Raw genomic sequence first — 18,816 nt, forward strand, 5'->3', positions numbered from 1 at the left:
ATTTGTTTTCTATGCTGACATTGTAAACAGCTACAACAGCAATTCCAACCTGTGGGCCTTGGGCCCTTGGTGGGCCACGAGTTATTTCAAGAGGTCTTTCCATCCATATGTAGAGTAAGCCTTCTGAGGAGGCAGAATGAGAAATATTCATGTATATAAGGCCATTTTTTTAAAACATACAAGTGCTATTATGATGATTAAAATTCTAAAATGTATTTAATAGCATTATTGAATTTATGGTATTTTTGTCATTATATATTTTCTCCACTGAAAGTACAATGATCTTTTGATTAGTGGGTGTAATGTTTTAACCTTGAAGAAAAGACCTCATACACAAAAGATCAGAAACCACTGAGCCGAGGAAGACAGGAAATTAAGATAGATCCAGAGTGATGAAGATGCTGCATGTGGGAAGCAGGGGGCTGGAGCCACAGGGCACCTAGAAAGAGCTGCCAAATGTTACTTTGGCTTTTTACTCCTTGGGTCTCCCAGGAGTGAAGACCCTATGACATGGATCCCTTAATAGACCATAGCATCACGTGACCAAATTATCCAGTAAGTAGCCCCTTCTTAGGATCTAGACAGGTAGGTTTTCTTTTTTTTTTTTTTTAACCACTTTACTGATTGTTACACAAACAGCCATACATATTTAATGTATACAACCTGAGTTGGAGATGAGGACACACCCATTAAACCATCACTTCAATATATGCCATAAATTTATCCATCACCTCCAAAAAGTTCCCCCAGCCCTCTTTATTTGTGATTATTACTTTGTGTGTGTGATGAGAACACTTAACATAAGATTTACTATCTTAGCAAATTTTAAAGTATGGAATACAGCATTGCTTACTCTAGTCACTGTGTCACTCAGTAGATCTCTAGCACTTATTCATTTGCATAACAGAAACTTTGTACACTTGGACCAATACCTCTCCTTCTCCCTCCCCCCAGCCACAGCAACCAACCATTCTACTCTCTGCTACCATGAGTTCAAATGTTCTGGATTCCCCATATGTGTATTATCATGTAGTATTTGTCCTTCTGTGTCTGGCTTATTTCACTCAACATAATGTCCTCTAAATTTATCCACGTTGTCACGAATGGCAGGATTTTCCTCTTTTCAAAGGCTGGATAATACTCTATTATATGTATGTGCCACATTTTCTTTATCCATTTGTCTTTCGAACGACATTTAAATTGTTTCTGTATCTTGGCTACTGTGAGTAATGCTGCAGTGGACATGGGAGTGCAGACATTTCTTCAAGATCTTGACATCAATTCTCTTGGACATATATACAAAAGTGGGATTGCTGGCTCATATGGTAGTTCTTTTCAATTTTTTTGAGAAACTTCCATAGCAGGCATACTTTTTGACTAACTTTATCACGGTACTCTTTAATGGAAAATACACCAGCTTGTTGAAGAGAATTTAGATTAGTACTTTTCAAGCTTAGATATGTAGAGGCCTCTTCTAAAAGGAAAACCATATCATTAAATTTTGATATATAACCTTGTTTATTAATGTTACTTAAAATATGCAAACATAAAATTAGGCATAACTTCTTAATGCCTATGATCTTGTTATAAATCAAGTATAATACAAAATAATGAAATTTCACTTAACAACATTAAAGTGTGATGTTATTTTGCTAAAACGCCATTGCAAACTTGTGATATGAAAATATGCTGATTGCCGGCCAGGCATGGTGGCTCAAGTTCCAGCACTTTAAGAGGCCGAGGCAGGTGGATCACCTGAGGTCAGGAGTTTGAGACCAGCCTGGCCAACATGGCAAAAGCCTGTCTCTACTAAAAATACAAAATCAGCCAGACATGGTGGCGGGCATCTGTATTCCCAGATACTCGGGAGGCTGAGGCAGGAGAATCACTTGAATCCGGGAGGCAGAGGCTGCAGTGAGCCAAGATCACGCCATTGCACTCCGGCCTGGGCAACAGAGAGAGACTCTGTCTCAAAAAAAAAAAAAAAGAAAAAGAAAAGAAAAGAAAAAAAGGAAAGAAAGAAAGAAAATATGCTGATATGCTAATTGCCACAACACAGACTTTTTGTTTTAAGTTTGGCCTATAATGCCTACCATGCCCTATGTGATAATCCAATTCTTCCACCATTTTTCTCTTTTTAAACTATTTTGATTTTATAGTACAGTTGATTATTATCAAAATAAAAACTCAAAGCTACAATATTGTTATAGAGTTCTCCCAGACCTGAAAGAATACACCTTCAAGCATCCGAGGACCCCAGATGGAGAAACACTGCTTTAGATATAGAACATCTGATGACAATGAAGGAAACTTTAGAAGCAGCATCCTGAGCAAATGTCTTGGGCAGAATGGAGTCCAAATAGCAACATTCTTGTTAATTCACTGTTAGAAATGCAGTGACAGGGACAGAGTTCAGCAAACACATACAAGTAAGTAAGTAAAAGCAAACCAGTCTTTAAAGAAGACAAGGAGACCTCTATTTGTGGATTTAAGATAATTTGATGAAACAGTTTTCTAAATATTAACTTTTCCTATTTACCAGAAAACTTGCTCAGTCTATTTTGCGTTTTTTTTGTTTTAAAATTAGAGATACAAATTTCATAACAGAATCTTATAGTTGCCTTCTTTTATACCTATGAACGATTTCCTTTCTAAATTGTGAAAAGCTTGTTGCAAAGCATCTGTCCTTGGTTCAACCCACCTAACATCATGTTCTGTAACATGCATGATTCTCTGCCAGTGTGTTACACAGTCACCAGCTCACCTGCTGGCAGCTGCACCAGTTTACTTACAAAACTCAGGGTGATTTGGGCTTGAATGAGACCTACAAATTGCCAAGGATGTCTATGCTCACTGTTTTACATTTTCAGAGAATCGCTAGCCGAATCCTGCTACCTGTATTGCCCCATACTCATGTAAATGGATTTTTATTTATTGACAGCCTTTCATTTTATTTGCTTTTCACCTGGAAAATATTTATTGGATGCTTTCAGTAACAATCTCTAATTCAGGTGTACAAGTCCTCAAGGAATTTGCATCTTTTCTGCTTTAAAAGTTTTTAATTTTTTTCCTCCCTTGAAGTTTTATACAGTATTTTTCTAATATTAATTCCACAAGGAAGAAGTTCTGTTAGGGATCCACAATTGCATCCATAAAAGATGTATTTTTTTTCTCATTTGGAGTTGCAATTTAAGAGCATAATCATATTGGTTTTTATTCCAACAAGTTTAGTCACTGTTATCTAGAAGGCATTATGAAAATGTGAGTGAACTACCATGGAACATGTATTTAAGATATCTGGGTGAACTTGGTGAAACTGTGCTCTTACAATTGTTCCTACAGTATGTTACCTTTTTGGTATGTCATTTCTAATTCCTTTTTTTTTTTTTTTTTGGGACAGTCTCACTCTGTTGTTCAAGCTGGAGTGCAGCAGTGCGATCTCAGCTCACTGCAACCTCTGCCTCCCGGGTTCAGACAATTCTCTTGCCTCAGCCTCCCAAGTAGCTGGGTTTACAGGTGTGCACCACCACACCTGGATAATTTTTATATTTTTAGTAGAGATGGGGTTTCACCATGTTGGCCAGGCTGGTCTCAAACTCCTGGCCTCAAGTGATCCACCCACCTCCACCTCCCAAAGTGCTGGGATTACCAGCGTGAGCCACTGCACCCATTCTTGTCATTTCTAATTCTAACCTCCCAGAAATATTTTTATATAATAAGATTCTCCCAGAAATATTTTTATAAACATTTTTAAGAAAAGAAAGTAGGCTTGGAGAGATACATTTGTTCAACTTATGATATTTCATAAGTTGCTGAGCCAGAACTCAAATGAAAGCCAGATTTACAGTGTCCCCACTATACCTCATTGTCTCAGACTGTTCAGACTGCTAAAACAAAATACCTTAGACTGGATAATTTATAAATAACAAAATTACTGTTCACAGTTCTGGAGACTGAGAAGTCCAAGATCAAGGCACCCGCAGATGCAACATGTAGTAAGTGCACGGTCTCTGCTTAATAGATGGCTTCTTGTTGCTGTGTTTTCACATAGTGGAAGCGGGAAGGCAACTCCCTTCAACCTCTTTTATTAGGACACTAATCCCATTCACAAGTGGAGAGTCCTCATGATTTAATCACTTCCCAAAAGGCCCCACCTTTTAATATTATCATATTGGGTATTAGGTTCCAAACTATGAATTTGTAAGAGATATCAACATTCAGACCATAGCACTAATGGATTATGAGCAGTTAGCCCAGTGGATTCCTATGTTCTGAACAAACACGCAAAGACTCAAATAGAAGAGCATCTTCCTCCTAGGCTCTAAGGTACACATCTGAAGCTGGACCAGAAGCATGATTAAGAGTCAGCTTGTTTAGTGGCAAAGCTAACCCTGAGCAGATAATGCATTGCACCTGGCCTATGGCTATGCAGAGCCTCCTTTGTCTATGTTAAGAGTCTGGGTTATGGCCAGGCATGGTGGCTCACCCCTGTAATCCCAGCACTTTGGGAGGCTGAGGTGGGCGGATCACAAGGTCAAGAGATCGAGACCATCCTGGCCAAGATGGTGAAACCCTGTCTCTACTAAAAAATACAAAAATTAGCTGGGCATAGTGGTACACACCTGTAGTCCCAGCTACTCAGGAGGCTGAGGCAGGAGAATCTCTTGAACCTGGGAGGCGGAGGTTGCAGTGAGCCGAGATCGCACCAAAGCACTACAGCCTGGTGACAGAGCAAGACTTCATCTCAAAAAAAAAAAAAAAAAAAAAAGAGTCTTGGTTACAACTATTGTATAAACCAGAGATCAGCATGCTAAGGCCCGTAGACCAAATCTGGCTCACCACCTGCTTCTGTAAATAATATTTTATTGGAACACAGTCCTGCTCATGTTTTTAAAGCATATTGTCTATGGCAACTTCCACACTACAGAAAATCAGAGTTGAGTAGTTATGACAAGATCATATGGCTCACAAAGCCCAAAATACTGTCTTTTATAAAAAATGTTTGCTGCCCATTGGTATAGACTAATATATTTTAAAATCAGTATAACATGATTAGCTAAGAAAATACAATTCAATTTTGCATGGTTTTTCTTAAAACTCTGATAAGCAGCATTATAGGACAAATCCATACATATTTACGTGGCACTGGGCTTCCATAAGAATAGGGACAGTTGAAATTCCATAGGTATTTGAGCACATTGATGCTTCATAACCTTTGGAATATAAAGTTCTTCTGTCTTTGCACTGTAACATTGTAGGAATTCCTCCTTATTTCTGATTGGCTAAAACAAAAACGAAACATAAGCTTGAGCATGCAAACAGCATTACAATAGATCATAGAGCATTTCTGTAGTATCCTGTGTCTTAGTCAGTCCGGGCTGCTATAACAAGGCACACAGACTGGGTAGCTTATAGACAACAACCATTCATTGTTCACAGTTCTGGAGGCTGGAAGTCAAAGATCAGGGTGCCAGCATGGTGGGTTTCTGTTGACGGACCTCTTCCAGGTTGAGGGCTGCTGGTTTCTCATGGTATCTTCACATGGCAGAAAGAGGTCAAGAGAGCTCTCTGGGGTCGCTTTTATAAGGGCACTAACAACCTCATTCATGAGGGCTCCACCCTCATGACACAATCACCTCTCAAAGCCCACCTCCTAATCCCATCCCATTGGGGGTTAGGATTTCAACATATGAATTGTGGAAGGATGCAGGCATTCAGTTCATAATATCTTGTGGCCTCCATCTTTTTCCACTTGTCAGGAAATGCTTCTCAGAATGTATTACTCTCCCATCATTGAAATGGACTGTTGAACACATGGATTAGTATAACAGGGAACATGCATACATCTCTCTGATGCCTTAGGAGCCCTTCTTATAAGGAATGCACATTAAATTTAGCATCAGGACCAATTTTCTTACTAGCTATATCACTTCTTAAGGGAAAGGAGCAGAAGGAAGCCATAGAGGTTCCCTCACTTTGCTCTCCCCTCCACTAGCCCACCACATACCCTACCTATAGCTATCAAAGGTTTTGGAAAGAGGCAGATCAAGTGAATTGTATGATGCCGGGGTATCAGGCAGGCTTTGGTGGTGGGGTAGATGCATGGAAGGCATGTTTTGCAGTAACTCTAAGGATTATGGAGTGTGCTTATCTTTAAATCTTCTTTGGGGCAAGTCTTTTTCTTCTTATCATAATCATATTTTTCCGATACCAGAATCAAGGTGCACTGTGTGGGAAAAGGAGGCTTTGTGATTGTGAATTTATATGATTTGCTTGTGTAAAAAGGGATAAACATCAAGAATGGCCTCACATTCCAACAATGAAAGTTGATGTGCTGCTTGCCTTATGACAGTAAAGAAACCCATATCCCATCAGCATTTTTGCTTAGTAGGTTTTATTATTGCTCCAAAGCATAATGAGGAGACTGAATAAACCGGCCTTCACTGTGCTCTACCAACGTGGTTTTGGACTTCGATAAGCTTTCCCCATGAGAGTGTGAAAGATTACTTGCAACATTAAAATTTTTCTTCCATGCCGCAAAGATATATAGCTAATTAGTGAAACAGCCTTCTGTAATTCATCTTTTCCATCTTTTTGCACCTTTAAAGGGGGCGTAAGTAAGATTATCAAAATTTCCTTAGATGCAATAAGGAGACTGCACAACATCAGGATGTACCTGGTTAAACCTGACTTACTAGTTGGGTATTCCATTATTTTAACATCTTTCATGCAATTTTAAAAATTGAAATACTATCTGAAACTTGCTGCAAATGAGAAGCAACTCTTCTATAACATTGTGGATACTCTTCTCTAGTGGTTAACACCATGCTCACTCTTTGGTGACACTCCTTCTGGCCCCAAGTGTTCTCTGCCCAACACTGAAGAAAATGAAACCCAGTGCTTTTTGTTAAACTGAGTGGCAAGTTCCAGCTATTGGTCAGCACCGTTGCCCTGCGTTTCTCCAAGGGAGTGCTTTAGCCCTAGGCAATCCCTGGCCCAGCTTTGACTCTGGTCCTCATAAGAGGAGGTGGTCGCCTAGAGAGACATGGCGTATGCCCACTGTATAACACAAGACTCAAACAGCATGGTCCTTCAGTCTCACTTGCACCTATCCTAACCTTGTTAACATACCCCATCTATTTCCTCTTGCTTCTTGCTATATGTTTTAAGAAGTGTAATTTGAATGTCTTAATTTGGTTTTCAAGCCTTTTCAGTGCATGGCCTCTGGGGTCATTCACCCACTAGAGTACTGGAAGACTATCACTGCATCAAGGTAATTTCCAACACAATGATAGTGCTCTTCCTTACAGCTGATTACATCAGCCATATTTGCTTTTATTTCAAAATGCTAAGGAATGTTTACTCAGTTGATCTGACTTATCCATTAAATAGCAAATTCACTTAAAAAGTAAGTACTAGAAATATAAATACCAAAAAATGCCAAAAAAGTTAAAGATAACAAATACCAAATACCACCTAAAATGAACAAATGTTAATAATTTTTCATCTTCGCAGCAGATTTTTAAATTTTATTTCTTGTCTTATCAAAAAACAATGTCCTGAGAAAGGGTGTTAAGGAGATCAATGATTTTGAGTGTTTGCATTAATTCTCTCAACAAATATTCACTGAGTTACTAAAATATAAGGAATATCCTGATCTAAGCGGTGCAATTAGTCATTCATTCTGAGCAAATTACACCCCAGTACATTTCTAATAACTGAAATCACACATAATACGTTCTCTGACAACAGAAAAATAAAGCTAAAACTCACAAGAAGTTAAATACGAGATCCTCAGATATTTGGAAATTAAGAAGTAGACTTCAACTGGATATTCAGGCTTTCTTTTCAGTAAATTGCCTGATCATATTGTTGACCTGGTTTTAAAAATTGAGTTTATTATCAATGTGCATGAGTTCTTTATATATGCAGGATACTAATTATTTGCTTTATACATATTTCGAAAATCATTTATCTCTTTTTCTGGCTTTTCTTTTAACTTTTTTCTTTTGTGATTCAGAAGGTTCTAACTTCTATATAGTCAATTTTGCCATTTTTTCACCTGATTTCTGGGGTTTTTTAAATATCTTATTTAATAAATCTTTCTCTTCCTTGAGGTCATAAAATTATTCCTCTATAATTTAATATTTAATATTTTTTCACAATTAGGTCATGAAATATCTAGGTTCATAATGTAAGGTATGAATTAGGAATGAGCTTTTATATTTTTTATATGGAAAACCAATTGTCTCAGCACCTTTGAATTGCAAATTTCTACATTTATTTCCCTCTGTTTGTGAATTCTCCATCCTTTCCACTGATTCATTTGTCTATCTCTACACTAATACTATACCCTCTTAATTTCTATGGCTTTATAATAAGACCTAATAACTAGTGGCATAAGTCTGGTTCTGCATCAGAATTTACCTTGCACTCTTGGGTATCCATTCATTTATTTCACAAATATTTATTGAGCAACTAGTGTATGTCATGCACTTCTTTTCATGTGCTTGGAGGTAAATCAGTGAATAAAAGAGTTACTAATCCCTGTGCTCATAACGTCTTATATATTTACCTGTGAATATAGGAATTATTCTGTCAACTTTCACAAAAATCCTATTAGGATTGTGACAGAAATTACATTTAATTAAAACACTAATTTGAGAAGAATCACTATCTTTATGCTATTGAAACTTTTCACCTGAATGTCGAATCTCTTTATTTATTCAGCTATTTTTTTGTGCCCTTCGATTACATTTTGTGATTTTCTCCGTAAAATTTCTTACATCTTATTAAATTATCTCTGGGTACTCAGTAGTTTAGTTATTGAGAATGGTCTGTTTTTTTAATTACGTTTTATAATTGGTTATTGCTGCTCTACAGAAACGTTTACTTTGTGTATGATGACTGTATCTAGCAATTTTTTAAATTCTAACTAATTCTAATCATTTTTTTCTGAAGATTTCCTTAAATTTTCTATGAGGATAGCAATACAATATGCAAATATAGACGATTTTTGTCTCTTCCTTTCCAATCTTTACACCTTTTATTTACTTTTCTTTCCTTTTCTTTTGGCATTGACTGGACCTCTATAACAATGATAAAAGTTGTGCACATAGTGGGACAATATTGCCAAATTCCTGACTTTAATGGGACCACTCCTCAACTTTATAATTAAGATGTTTGGTCTATGTTTTGGAAAATACCATTTCACATAAAGGAGGTTTCTTTCTTTTCCTACTTTGCCAATAATTTCATATTTCATAAATATTAAATTATATCATGTTCTTTATATATGTATAGACATCATTATGATTCTAATACATTTATGTATAAATTACATTGCTAGATTTTCTTAGGTTGAACCAATTTTACATTTTTGAAATGAATTGTACTTGATCATCATGAATGGCCATTTGTTGCATTTGGTTTGTTTATACTTTATATGAATTTTTATATTGGTTATAACTTATTTAGAAACATTGAATGTTTATCTATAAGCAAAATAGGTATATAGTTTTTAACACTATACAATCCTTTGTCTGGTTTGATATCTAGGTTATAACCGTCTCATAAAATGCTGCTCTTTTTCTGTTCGTCCAGATTTTAAGGTAAAGAATATTTTTATCTAAAATATTGGTTCTTTTCTTCTATAAAGTTTTCTGGTCCAGGTGCCTTTTAGAGGAGAGTATTCTTTTTAACCACAGATTAATTTCTTTTTAAAAATTGCTGTTGGTTTGTACAGTTTTTCTACGCTTTTAGTCAATTTTTTTCTAGAATATTTTCCATCTCAGCTAAGTGTTCAACTTTAGTGGCATGAAGCAACTTACAATATTCTCTTATAATTTTTAAAATCCCTACTCACTGTAGTTATGGACCATCTCTTTGTTCCTAGAATAATTTGTTTATTTATGCCTGTCTTTTCTTTTCTCTTTTTTTCTTTTTGTCTCAATTAATTTGGCCAATGGTTTGTTTTTATTTTGCAGATCTTCCAAACAAAACATATTTTCTTTTGATAGCATCTATGCTTTTATTTTCTATTTAATCAATTTCTCCACATATCCTTATTATTTGTTTCCTTTTTTGAGGGAGTTACTCTTTTCTGTATTCTTGAGCTGAATTTTTACTTGTTTTTTTAGCCAATAATAATAATCACTAACATTTATGAAGTGTTCACAATGTATACTGTGCCAGAAATTTTTACTTGCTTTTTTTTCCCACTTTTATTTTAGAATTAGGAGGTACACATACAGGTTTGTTACAAAGGTATATGGCATGGTGCTGAGGTTGGAAGTACGAATTAATCTGCCACCCAGATGGTGAACATGCCTGCTTATTTTTAGTGTCATGTTTTTTAGTTAAGATTATACATTTTCCTCTAAGTACCAATTTAGCTGTATCCCACAAATTTTGAAACATAGTAGTTTTTATTGTCACTTAGTTCTATATATTTTCTTATTTAAACTGTAATTTTCTCTTTAGCCATAAATTATTTAATAATTTGTTTTTAGTTTTTAAACACACGGGTTTTAATTTTACAGTATTTTATTGTTTTCCATTTTAATTCTTTGTGGTCAGGAAAAATAAGCTTTAAGATGATAATTTAAAAAAATTTATTGATACTTCCTTTGTGATCTAGTGCTTAGTCAACTTTGCTAAATGTTATATGTACGTTTGCAAAAAAAAAGTAAATTATCTAATAACCTCAAGTTGTTTTTTGATTACACTGTTAATTATGGGGTTCAAATCTCATTTATGTTTCTAATTTGTTATCCATACATAACGTAATTTGATCCATACATAATGTATAGATATTATAGATTTATGTACTTATGGATTTGTTTGTTTTCCTTATGTTTTTCAGTTTTTGCTCTATGTTTTCCTAGGTTCACAGAAATTTATAATTGTTACATCAGCAAGTTTTTCATTCTATCTTTGTTTATTATTATATCACTATTAATGCTTCCTATCTTAAACTGTGTTTTATCTGATAGTAATATTGCTACAGAAGCTTTCTTTTTGAATTTTTATTTATTTTTAGCCTTTTGATATTTTGTTGTTATTTTAGATGTGTCTCTTATATGCGGCATGCATCTGGATTGCAATTTTATATTAATTCTGTACATTCTCTATAAATGATTATATTTGTTGTATTTACCTTTCTTTGTGCTTTTTATGTAACTGAACTTTTAATTCTTTCTAAAAAACTTTTACTTTTAGAATAGTTTTAGACTTGCAGAAATATTACAAAGAAAACACAAAGAGTTCGCATATACCTCCACACCCAGCTTCCCCTATGATTAACATCTGACATTAGTATGGGATATTTGTCACAACTAATGAGACAATATCAGTACATTTTATTAACTAAAGTCCATACTTTATTCAGATTGCCTCAGTTTTTACCTAATGTCTTTTTGTTGTTGCCATAGGATCCCATTGAGGATACTGTAGTAGACTTAGTTCTTCTGTGTTCTTAGGTTCCTCTTGGCTGTGACAATTTCTCAGACTTTCCTTGTTTTTGATGATCTTGACAGTTTTGAGGATTATTAGTCAGGCAGTTTGTAAAGTGTCCCTCAACTTGGATTTGTCTGATGTTTTTTGCACAGGTAGTCTGGGGTTATATGTTTTGAGGGAGGAATTCAACACAGGTAAAGTGCCATTTTTGTCACATCATATCAAGGTACATACTATCAATACGATTTAGCACTGTGAATATTGACCTTGATCACTATGGAGGATTGGTTTCTCCATGGTGATCAAAGGATACCAAAATCCATGGATGCTTAGTCCCTGATATAAAATGGCATAATATTTGCAAATAATCTATGCACATCCTCCTGTATACTTTAAATAATCTCTAGATTATCCATAATACCTAATACAATGGCTACACATCAATTCATTTATGTGAACTGAATGGAGAACTTGATGTGTGGCAAATTCAGGTTTTGGTTTGGAGAACTCTGTGGAATTGCTTTTTCTGAATATTTTAAATCTGCAGTTCATTCAATCCATGGATACAAAGGGCCAACTGTATGCCATTTCACATGTAGTGTAGCTTAACTTATTCCCAATTCCTCTCTCCTACCTGATATGACACTGCTGTCTTTCTTTCACCTAATCGTATGTATTATCCCTCAACACATTATTACTATTATTCCTTTAAACAAACAGTTATCTTTTAGATCAATTAAGAATGAAGATTTTATTTTACTTTTATTTTTTTCCTTCTGCTGTACTATAGTCTTCATTGCTTGATGTAGATCTGAATTTCTGATATACGTCCTTTTCCCTGAAGAACTTCTTTTAACATTTCTTACAGGGCAGAGCTGCTGCTGATGAACTCCCCATTTTTTGTTGACCTGTGAAAATTTGTATTTCTCTTTTATTTCTGAATGGTTATATTTCTGGTTATAGAATCGTAGGTTGGTGACAGGTTTTTTTTCAGTTTTTTATGGCTTTAAGTACAGTTATATGCTGGTTACTCCACAATTTGTATCTCCATCCTGGCCTCTTTTCTGAATTCCAGATTTGTTTATCAAACTACCATCTTGGGCATCTCCTCTGGAATGCTTAATAGGTATCTCAAATTGAAAACTGAGGCCAGACACAGCCGCTCATGCCTGTAATCCCAGCACTTTGGGAGGCCAAGGAAGGAGGATTGCCTGAGGCCAGGAGTTGGAGACCACCCTGGGCAATAAAAAGACCTCATATCTGCCAAGAAGTTTAAAAGTTAGCCAGGCATGGTGGCTTTTGTCTATGGTCATAGCTAATTAAGAGGCTGAAGTGGAAGAATCCCTTGAGCCCAGGAGTTCAAAGTTACAGTGAGCTGTGTCGGCCTGGGTGACAGAGCTAGATCCTGTCTCAAAAATATAAGTAAATTAATAAATGAAATAGAAAACTGTGCTCCTGATATTCCTCCACAAGCCTGAGTCTCCCACATGCTTTCCAACTCAGTAAATACCTACGCTAATTTTCTAGATACACAGGTAAAAGATGTAAATTACTCTTGCCTCTTTTTATTTCACATCTCACTTTAAACTCATCAACAATTCCTGTCATCTCTATCTGGAATGAATATCAAAATCCAAAATATTCTCATGACTTCCACTGCTACCAACCTGGTATGAGCTGTCATTGTTTTTTACTTGGATTGTGGCAACAGACTTCTAGCTGATCTCCCTGCTTCTACCCTTAACCCCCTTTCATCTATTCCCAACACAATGATCCTGATAAAACAGAAGCCATGTCGCGTCACTGTTCTGCTAAAACCCTCCAATGGCTTACCATCTCTCGCAGAGTAAAAGCCAAAGTTCTTACAATGGCACACAAGGCTTTACACTATCTGGCCCTCATCTCAATCTCTCCTTCCTCCTACCATTTCAGTCATGTTTTTGTCCTTGCTATTCCTCAAAATCTTTCAGACAAGCTCCTGCCTTACGGCATTTGCATTGGCTGTTTCCTATAACTGGATCATTCTTTCCTCAAGGGATTTACATGGCTTATTCTTTCCCTTTCTTAATTCAAACATCATGTTATTAAGAGCATTCCTGACCATCCTATTTAAAATCTTAATCATAGACATACTTAAAACTCTATCCCTATTTTGTGCCTTTCTTTTGTCATTAGGACTTGCCACCACCAAACATCTATATATCTTCCTTCTTTATCTGTTTTTTTTTTTCTTTTTTTTTGACAGAATCTCACTGTCATCCAGGCTGGAGTGCAGTGGTGCAATCACGGCTTACCACAGCCTCTACCTCCCAGGCTCAAGCAATCCTCCCACCTCATTCCCCGAGTAGCTAGGATTACCGGTGCACACCACCATGCCCAGCTAATTTTTTAATGTTTGTGTAGAGGCAGGGTCTCAAACTCTTGGGCTCAAGCAGTCCTCCTGTCTCAGCCTCCCAAAGTGCTGTGATTACAAGCATGAGCCACCAATTTATCTTGTTTATCTTGCTTATTGGCTGTTTGTCTCTCACAAGAATGAAATCTCTCTGAAGGCAAAGGATGTTTACTCTTTTTTACATTTTTTTATTCCCACTGTCTAAAACAATGCCTAACATATAATAAACATATATTGTTTATAATATTTATTTATTATAATTAATGAGTTAATAAATGAATAGCTATATTTTTCATTTTCAGGATTTATAGTTAGTTCTTTTGCATGTCTATCTTTTTTATTCATATTTGCTCATTTTTGTTCATAATTTATTCTTTTACAATTGGTGTTATTCTTTTCTTCTCTGTTCTGAAAATATTAACCCTCTTTGTTATTAGGTCATTTTAGGATTATTCTATCACTTTCATTTCATTGGGGGTAAATTTATCTACCAAATGTTGAACATGTTGAATTTCAAGAGTGTGTGTATGTGTGTGAATATTTTCCTTGTGTGTTTTGGAATGCAGTTTTCAGCCTGGTTTTAAGTAAAGTTCTCTGTCTGTCTGTCTCTCTCTCTCTTTTTCTCTCTCTTCCAAAGAAATACAAATGGTTATAAATGAAAACAAAACAAACATTTAAAAAGAAGAATCAAATAGAAATCTTAAAAAAGAAAAATGTAGTCTTCTCTATTACTGATTCAATTTTGGAGCTGAATAGGCAGAAAAAATTCTAGGTTGTACACTTTGAAGGTATGGTTAGGAAAAATAGAAGCAAGAACTGAAGAAATCACCAAATAATAAGATATGCAGAGCCAAGGAGATGAAGAATATGAAAGAGGAGTTAAAGGATGAGGAGAGTAGATTTAAAGCTCCAGTATATGTTGAACCAGCCTTGCCTCCAAGGAATAAAGCCTACTTGATCATGGTGTATTAACTTTTTGATGTGCTGCTACATTCAGTTAGCTAGCATCTTATTGAGGATTTTGTGTCTATGTTCATGAGGGATATTGGCCCGAAGTTTTATTTTTTCATTGTGTCTTGCCAGATTTTGGTACCAGGCTGATGCTGACTTCATAGAATGAGCTAGGGAAGAGCCTCTCCTCCTTGATTTTTCGGGATAGTTTCAGTAGGATTAGTACCACTTCTTCTTTGTACATCTGGTAGAATTTGGCTGTGAATCTACCTGGTCCAGGGCTTTCTTCGGTTGGTAGTTTTCTGTATTACTGATTCAGTGTTGGAGCTTGTTACTGGTCAGTTCAAGTTTTCACTTTCTTCCTTGATCAATCCTGGGAGGTTGTGTGTTTCCAAATATTTATCCATTTCCTCTAGATTTTATAATTTGTGTGCCTAGAGTTGTTCATAATCGTTTCTGAGGATCGTTTGTATTTCTGTGGGATGGGTTGTAATGTCTTCTTAGTCATTTCTAATTGTATTTATTTGGCTCTTCTCTCTCTCTCTTTTGATTAATCTAGTTAGCAGTCTATCAATCCTGTTTGTTCTTTTGAACAGCCAACTCTTGGCTTCATTGATCTTTGGTGTGGATTTTTGCATCTCAACTTTATTCAGTTCTTCTAAAATTTTTATTTTTTTTCTGCTGCTAGCTTTGGTATTGGTTTATTCTTTTTTCTTATTCCTGTAAGTTCAAAATTAAACTGTTAATTTGAGATCTTTGTAACTTCTTGATTGAGGCTGTTTAGCACTATAAACTTTCCTCTTACCACTGCTTTAGCTACATCCCAGAGATTGTGGTAAGTTGTGTCCCTATTTTAATTCGTTTCCAAGATTTTTAAATTCTGCCTTAATTTTATTGTTCATCCAAAAGTCATTCAGGATAAAGTTGCCTAATTTCTATATATTTGTATCATTTTGAGAGCTCTTCTTGATACTCATTTCTAGTTTTATTGTACTGTGATTCAAGAGTATGCTTGGTATGATTTTGATTTTTTAAAAACTTATTGAGACTTGCTGTATGACCAAGCATGTGGGCAATCTTAGAATATGTTCCATGTGCAGATGAGAAAAATATATATTCTGTGATTACCTGGTGAAGTATTCTGTAGACAGAATTAAAAGTAAAATCATATGATCATCTCAATAGACGTGGAAAGAGGTTTTGGTAAAATCCAACATTCCTTCATGATAAAAGCCCTCAACAAACTAGGCATTGTAGGAACATAGCTCAAAATAAGTGCCATCTGTGACAAACTCACAGCCAACATCATACTGAACAGTTAAATGCTGGAACCATTCCCCTTGAGAATGGAACAAGACAAGGATACCCACTCTGCCCACTCCTATTCAACACAGTACTGGAAGTCCTAGCCAGAGCAATCAGGCAAGAGAAAGAAATAAAAGACATCCACATAGGAAAATTAGTCAACTATTTGTCTTTTCTGACAATATGATTCTATACCTAGAAAACTGTAAAGACACTGCCAAAAGGCTCCTAAAACTGATAAATGACTTCAGTAAAGTTTCAGGATACAAAATAAATGTACAAAAATCAGTAGCATTTCTACATAACAATAACATTCAAGCTGCGAGTTAAATCAAGAACACAATTCGATTTACAATCATCACACACACACAAAATAAAATACGTAGGAATACAGCTAACCAAGGAGGTGAAAAATCTCTACAAAGAGAACTACAAAACACTGCTGAAGGAAATCATAGATCACAGAAACAAACGGAAAAGCATCCCCTGCTCACAGACTAGAAGAATCAATATTGTTAAAATGGCCACACTGTCCAAAGCAATATACAGATTCAATGTTATTCCTATGAAACTACCAAGTCAGTTTTCAGAGAATTAGAAAAACTATTTTAAAATTCATATGGAACCAAAAAAGAGCCCAAGTACCCAAAGCAATCTTCAGCAAAAAGAACAAAGCTGGAGGCATCACACTACCTGACTTCAAACTATACTATAAGGCTATAGTAGCCAAAAGAGCATAGTATTGATTTTTTAAAAATAGACATATACACCGATGGAACAGAACAGAGAACCCCAAATTAAAGCTGCACACCTACAACCATTTGGTCTTTGACAAAGCTGACAAAAACAAGCAGTGGGAAAAGCACTCCCTATTTGATAAATGGTGCTGCATATGGCTAGTCATATGCAGAAGAATAAAACTAGATCCCTACTTTTCACCACATAAAAAAGTAACTCAAGAAGGATTAAAGATTTAAATGATAGATCTCAAACTATAAAAATCATAGAAGAAAACCTAGGAAATACCCTTCTCAATATTGGCATTGGAAAATAATTTTTGGTTTTTCTTTCAAGAATGTTTGGCTTTCTTTCAAAAGCAACTGCGAAAACAAAAGCAAAATTTGACAAATTGGACCTAATTAAACTAAAGCGCTTTTGTACAACAAAAGAAACTATCAACAGAATAAACAGATAACTTATAGAACTGGAGAAAATATTTGCAAACTATGTATCTGAGAAAGGTCTAATGTCCAGAATCTATAAGGAACTTAAACAAATTATAAGCAAAAAATGAATATGTTCATTAAAAAATGGGCAAAGGACATGAACAGACACTTTCCAAAAGAAGACATACAAGTGGTCAGCAGCATTTGAAAAAAATGTTCAATGTCACTAATCATCAGAGAAATGGAAATCAAAGCCACAATGAGATACCCTTTCATATCAGTCAGAATGGCTGGTAATAAAACGTCAAAAAATAACAGATGCTGATGATGCTGCAGAGAAAAGAGAATGCTTATACACTGTTGGTGGAAATGTAAATTATTTCAGCCACTATGGAAAGCAGTTTGGAGATTTCTCAAAGAATGTAAAACAGAACTACCATTTGACCCAGTAATCCCATTACTGGGTATATATCCAAAGGAAAATACATCATTCTACCAAAAAGACACATGCACCTGCATGCTCATCACAGCACTATCCACAATAGCAAAGACGTAAAATCAACCAAGGTGCCATCAATGGTGGATTGGATGAAGAAGATGTGGTACCTATATACCATGGAATACTGTACAGCTATAGAAAAGAACAAGATCATGTCCTTTGCAGCAACATGAATGCAGCTGGAGGCCATAATCCTAAGTGAATTAACGCAGGGACAGAAAACCAAATACTACACGCTCTCACTTAAAAGTGAGCTAAACATTGACTATGTATGGACATAAAGATGGGAACAATAGACACTGTGGACTTCTAGAGTGGGGAGAAAGGGGGATGTGAGCTGAAAAACTACCTATTGGGTACTATGCTCACTATCTTGATGACGGGATCCATACCCTAAACCACAGCATTCTGCAATATACCCATGTAACAAACCTGCACATGTACCCCCAAATGTAAAATAAAAGTTGAAATTATAAAAACAAAACAATAATAAATAAATAAATAAACGCTTCAATGCAGTGTAATAAGAGTTCCAGGAGAAAAAAGTTTTAGAATTGGAAAAAACAATGAATCTTTTCACCAGAAGAGCGCCCTGTGGATTCAGAAGTAATCCCAATAACATGAAGTTTGAAACAGTGAAAAGAAATAAACTCTCTGAAAGAAATGCAGAGATAAAAGAATAACAAGATAATGAAAGCCAGAGAAATAGGAAACATCAATGATTGGTGCAGAGGGTAAGAAGACAACCCAGCCAAGAAGAGTTAAAGAGTTAAGGGTATAAAAAATAAAATGTCATAGAAGCCTAATGAGCACAAAGTTTTAAGATGAGGTGAACTAAGTGTCAAGTGCCACAGAGCACGAGAAGAGTCTTGGAACTGAGTAAAGACAATGACAAATGCCAAGAAGTAGATCATTTATTATTTTAGAGACAGTTGTTTACACAGAAGGATGATAACAAAGGACATAATGTATAATATGAAAGAGATGAGTAGAAAGAAATCTGAGAATTTCAATCACAGGCTAGTGAGATCCTAAGAGCATAATCA

General features: G+C 35.6%; 1 long non-coding RNA gene across 1 annotated transcript in view; it reads left to right on the forward strand.

The window, feature by feature from the left end:
- LOC101927284 (uncharacterized) overlaps window positions 1-18,816 on the forward strand; it is a 174,470-nt gene that overhangs the window by 134,965 nt on the left and 20,689 nt on the right. The window contains exon 3 of the long non-coding RNA NR_110754.1: window positions 9,559-9,611. This is a non-coding gene — a long non-coding RNA (uncharacterized LOC101927284). The remainder of the gene's footprint in view (window positions 1-9,558; window positions 9,612-18,816) is intronic.

Source organism: Homo sapiens, chromosome 13 (assembly GCF_000001405.40).
Source record: "Homo sapiens chromosome 13, GRCh38.p14 Primary Assembly".
Taxonomy (NCBI): domain Eukaryota; kingdom Metazoa; phylum Chordata; class Mammalia; order Primates; family Hominidae; genus Homo; species Homo sapiens.